This window comes from Homo sapiens, chromosome 7, assembly GCF_000001405.40.
Source record: "Homo sapiens chromosome 7, GRCh38.p14 Primary Assembly".
Classification (NCBI taxonomy): Eukaryota; Metazoa; Chordata; class Mammalia; order Primates; family Hominidae; genus Homo; species Homo sapiens.
The window spans coordinates 87063887-87069886 of NC_000007.14; the positions used below are offsets into that span (position 1 = coordinate 87063887).

At 37.1% G+C, this 6000-nt stretch overlaps 1 annotated feature.

Annotated features, from left to right (window-relative positions):
• Nucleotides 4813–5013: a silencer, noted in NCBI's record as "peak6624 fragment used in MPRA reporter construct". NCBI's record gives its function as "represses an SCP1 promoter by STARR-seq MPRAs in K562 erythroleukemia cells {active_cell/tissue: K562}" and the evidence as "EXISTENCE:reporter gene assay evidence [ECO:0000049][PMID:32103011]".

Below are 6000 nucleotides of genomic sequence, written 5' to 3' on the forward strand. Positions count from 1 at the left end.
GATGTGGGCTCTTTTTCGGTTCCATATGAACTTTAAAGTAGTTTTTCCCAATTCTGTGAAGAAAGTCATTGGTAGCTTGATGGGGATGGCATTGAATCTATAAATTACCTTGGGCAGTATGGCCATTTTCACGATATTGATTCTTCCTACCCATGAGCATGGAACGTTCTTCCATTTGTTTGTATCCTCTTTTATTTCATTGAGCAGTGGTTTGTAGTTCTCCTTGAAGAGGTCCTTCACATCCCTTGTAAGTTGGATTCCTAGGTATTTTATTCTCTTTGAAGCAACTGTGAATGGTAGTTCACTCATGATTTGGCTCTCTGTTTGTCTGTTATTGGTGTATAAGAATGCCTGTGAGTTTTGTACATTGATTTTGTATCCTGAGACTTTGCTGAAGTTGCTTATCAGCTTAAGGAGATTTTGGGCTGAGACAATGGGGTTTTCTAGATATACAATCATGTCGTCTGCAAACAGGGACAATTTGACTTCCTCTTTTCCTAATTGAATACCCTTTATTTCCTTCTCCTGCCTAATTGCCTTGGCCAGAACTTCCAGCACTATGTTGAATAGGAGTGGTGAGAGAGGGCATCCCTGTCTTGTGCCAGTTTTCAAAGGGAATGCTTCCAGTTTTTGCCCATTCAGTATGATATTGGCTGTGGGTTTGTCATAGATAGGTCTTATTATTTTGAAATACGCCCCATCAATACCTAATTTATTGAGAGTTTTTAGCATGAAGCGTTGTTGAATTTTGTCAAAGGCCTTTTCTGCATCTATTGAGATAATCATGTGGTTTTTGTCTTTGGTTCTGTTTATATGCTGGATTACATTTATTGATTTGCGTATATTGAACCAGCCTTGCATCCCAGGGATGAAGCCCACTTGATCATGGTGGATAAGCTTTTTGATGTGCTGCTGGATTCAGTTTGCCAGTATTTTATTGAGGATTTTTGCATCAATGTTCATCAAGGATATTGGTCTAAAATTCTCTTTTTTGGTTGTGTCTCTGCCCAGCTTTGGTATCAGGATGATGCTGGCCTCATAAAATGAGTTAGGGAGGATTCCCTCTTTTTCTGTTGATTGGAATAGTTTCAGAAGGAATGGTACCAGTTCCTGCTTGTACCTCTGGTAGAATTCGGCTGTGAATCCATCTGGTCCTGGACTCTTTTTCGTTGGTAAGCTATTGATTATTGCCACAATTTCAGATCCTGTTATTGGTCTATTCAGAGATTCAACTTCTTCCTGGTTTAGTCTTGGGAGAGTGTATGTGTCGAGGAATTTATCCATTTCTTCTAGATTTTCTAGTTTATTTGCATAGAGGTGTTTGTAGTATTCTCTGATGGTAGTCTGTATTTCTGTGGGATCGGTGGTGATATCCCCTCTATCATTTTTTATTGTGTCTATTTGATTCTTCTCTCTTTTTTTCTTTATTAGTCTTGCTAGCGGTTTATCAATTTTGTTGATCCTTTCAAAAAACCAGCTCCTGGATTCATTAATTTTTTGAAGGGTTTTTTGTGTCTCTATTTCCTTCAGTTCTGCTCTGATTTTAGTTATTTCTTGCCTTCTGCTAGCTTTTGAATGTGTTTGCTCTTGCTTTTCTAGTGCTTTTAATTGTAATGTTAGGGTGTCAATTTTGGATCTTTCCTGCTTTCTCTTGTGGGCGTTTAGTGCTATAAATTTCCCTCTACACACTGCTTTGAATGCGTCCCAGAGATTCTGGTATGTTGTGTCTTTGTTCTCGTTGGTTTCAAAGAACATCTTTATTTCTGCCTTCAGTTCGTTATGTACCCAGTAGTCGTTCAGGAGCAGTTTGTTCAGTTTCCATGTAGTTGAGCGTTTTTGAATGAGATTCTTAATCCTGAGTTCTAGTTTGATTGCACTGTGGTCTGAGAGATAGTTTGTTATAATTTCTGTTCTTTTACATTTGCTGAGGAGAGCTTTACTTCCAAGTATGTGGTCAATTTTGGAATAGGTGTGGTGTGGTGCTGAAAAAAATGTATATTCTGTTGACTTGGGGTGGAGAGTTCTGTAGATGTCTATTAGGTCCACTTGGTGCAGAGCTGAGTTCAATTCCTGGGTATCCTTGTTGACTTTCTGTCTCGTTGATCTGTCTAATGTTGACAGTGGGGTGTTAAAGTCTCCCATTATTAATGTGTAGGAGTCTAAGTCTCTTTGTAGGTCACTCAGGACTTGCTTTATGAATCTGGGTGCTCCTGTATTGGGTGCATATGTATTTAGGATAGTTAGCTCTTCTTGTTGAATTGATCCCTTTACCATTATGTAATGGCCTTCTTTGTCTCTTTTGATCTTTGTTGGTTTGAAGTCTGTTTTATCGGAGACTAGGATTGCAACCCCTGCCTTTTTTTGTTTTCCATTTGCTTGGTAGATCTTCCTCCATCCTTTTATTTTGAGCCTATGTGTGTCTCTGCACGTGAGATGGGTTTCCTGATTACAGCACACTGATGGGTCTTGACTCTTTATCCAATTTGCCAGTCTAATAACCCCAATTTTTAAAAGACTAAGCACAAACAAAATCAGAAAAAAATAATCTGATTGAATTCAAGTAGCAAATTTTTAAATTAATTTTAAACCATCAATGAAAACATCAATGTAACGTGTCTTCTGTATCAAATTAGCAAAGAGATAATAATTCTGGCAAATGTATGCTGTGGATTATACACTCAGGAGAACATATATTTCTGGAGGATAATTTGGCAATGTGTATTAACTGCCTTTAATATGTTTATGCCTTAACCCAGTAATTTTTCCATCCAGGACTCTAAGGAACTGGTAGGTAAGGAGCACAAAGTTTCTGTACAAGAATACTCACTATCCTTTAATATGATTAAAAATGAAGTAACCTAAGTGCCCCAAAGTAGAGGAATGGTTAAATAAATTGTACTGCTTCATGTGGTAGGATTATGTATGTATTAAAAGTTACATTTACTAGAGAATGGTAAATGAATTGAGGAAATATGATGATATAATGTTAATGGAAAAAGCTGGAAACAAATCCTAATAAACATATATCCTCCACAAAGGCATAAGAGTGATGTAATGGACTTTGGAGACTCAAGGGGAAAGGTTGGTAAGGTGAGGGATAAAAGACTATATATATTGGGTACAATATACACAGCACAGGTGACAGGTGCATTGAAATTTCAGGTATCACCACTAAAAAACTTATCCATGTAATAAAAAACCACTTGTACCCCCAAAACCATTGAAATTAAAAAGTAAAATAATAAACAGTGTATCCTCAAGTATGATGTGCAGGGGGTTGGGGAAGAGTTTAAGTGTGCTTTATGGAAGGAATATCACTAGAAGGAAATAAGCCAAACTGTTGGCAGTAATTATCTTCTAATACTAGCATAACAGATATTTTTCCTTTCATTTTTACAGACTCTGTGTTTTTGATTTTTCCATAATTACATATTATTTTTATAATCATTACAAATTACTAAAAATGTTTGTATTCTTTGATGCCAATCAATTCTACCTGAAGAAATCATCAAAGATTTATACAAATATGTAAGAACAATATGCAAGGACAAAATATTCACCCATGTTTTTTGTAAAAGAAAATGAATGAAACCTAAATATTTAATACTAGGGAAAGTAAATAATGTATATTATCCTGACCAAAGAATTATTTTATGAAAGGTGTCTGACAGGGAAATGCTTATGAAAATGCTTTCAGTTAAATGGGGGAAATCATGATACAAAATTTATACACAATTGATACATCCAATGTAGTAAAATTATAAAAACATGGACAGCAGGATACAAACCAATTTCAGAATACTGATTGCTTCAAGGAGAAGAAAGGAGAATAATATTGGGAAGGAATGTAAAAGGGGCTTCACCAGCATCATTAATACTTTATTTCCAAAAGGAAAAAGGATGAAAGGGATGGAGAAAAGAAGAAAGAAATATCTGAAGCAAATTTGAATGCTGTATCATTGTTTTGTTGTGAGTGTTGAATGGCAGTTACAATAGCTAACATTTATTGAGCACTTAATATATGCCATTGCTGTTCTAAGATGTTTACAAGTTCTACTTCATTTAACCCTCAAAAACAACCCTATGTGATAGGTACTCTTATCTCCATTTTACAGATGAGCAAATAAAGGCACAAGTTTCTCAGAAAAGATAGTGTTGGGTTTCAAACACAGGCAGTCATATTCTAGGGCTCACCCCCTTAGGGAGTTTTATTACCCTCTTCTATTTTTTTTAAATATCATTTAAATTATTAAATAGAATATAGTCTTAACTAGGTTTTAAAAATCATATTTGAAAAACTGAGGATAGGCCAGATGACTAGCAAAGATGGTGTTTTCTGGACAAAATGTATGGATTAGTTTTTTTCTATTATACTTTTCCATACTTCCGAATTTTTTTAGAAAATATATATTAGTTCAATTTTTAAAACAAGAAAGATGGGACATATCAAAAAGAAGTATGATACTTCTACCTTTTGTACATCCATTTGGTCACCATATTTTAAATAACTGTAGGGAAAGAAGAATGGAGAATTGAGGAGGATAAATAGGATTCTAAAGAAAACAAAAGAATGATTTCAACAAATGGAAAATGGGTCACATGAGGAAAGGCTAAATTCAGGTGTTTTGAGTTGCTTTCTCTGAGTCCATGAAAGCCTCTCACCAGAGGGATTTATCTGCCTTGCTCTCCATTTTCCTCAAGGATCAAAACAAAACTATTTATAGTTAAAGGAGAAAAAATTTCACTTGGATATAGAGTTTAACCTACTGTGAGAGGTTGTGGAAATATTCAAGAAGAATGTTGTATTAGTCAGGTTTCTTCAGAGGGACAGGACAAATAAGATATGTGTGTGTGAGAGAGTGAGAGAGAGAATTGGCTCACTCTATTATGGAGGCTGAGAAGTCCCATAATCTTCCTTCTGCAAACTAGAGACCCAGGAAAGCCAGTAGTGTGATTCAGTCCAAGGCCAAAAGCCCTGAGAACCAGGGAGTTAGTGGTGTAACTCTCAGTCCAAGACTGAAGGCCTGAGAGCCAAGAGCTCTGAGGGCAGGAGAAGACGGATAGCCCAACTCAAAAAGAGAGACAGCTGGTTCTTCCTCCACCTTTTTGTTCTATTCAGGCCCTCAATGAATTGGAGCATGCCCACTCATTTTGGTGAGGGCAGGTCTTGACTTAGCCTACTGACTGAAATGCTAATCTTTTCCAGAAACACCCTCAAAGACACACCCAGAAATGTTTTGCCAGCTATCTGGGCATCCCTTAGCCCAGTTAAGTTGATGCATAAAATTAACCATCACAAACGTGATGTCAGACAAACCTGCATTTTAAATTGAAACTCCACTTACTTACTGTCTGCGTGATCTTGGGAACATAATCACCCTTGACTTAAGTTTCTTCACCTGTAATTTAGAGCTAAAAATACTTGTCACTATAGGGTAAGTGTACAATGAGTTAATGTGTTAATACATAATGAGTTAATGTACCTAAAGCATCTGGCAAGTTTATTGGTATATTTCTATATATGTTCCCTTCCTAAATTATTTAAGCCAGTATATCCCCAGTAGAGTCCGAAACCGCCAAGGAGAGGATGCACCTCCAGCATCTTCCTAGATCAGGAGTTTTCTCTGAGAACTTTTACTAAAAGTGGGATGGAATGAGTATAAAAGAAACAAACTGCAGGCTGGGGAGGGTGGCTCACACCTGTAATCCCAGCACTTTGGGAGGCCAGGGAGGCAGATCACTTGAGGCCAGGACTTCGAGACCAGCCTGGCCAACATGGTGAAACCCCATCTGTACTAAAAATACAAAAATTAGCCAGGCATGATGGCACAGGCCTGTAATCCCAGCTACTCAGGAGGCTGAGACAGGAGAATCACTTGAACCCAGAAGGTGGAGCTTGCAGTGAGCCGAGATCGTTCCACTGCACTCCAGCCTGGGCAACAAAGTGAGACTTTGTCTCAAAAAAAAAAAAAAAAACCGAATCAAACTGCAATTCTGCAG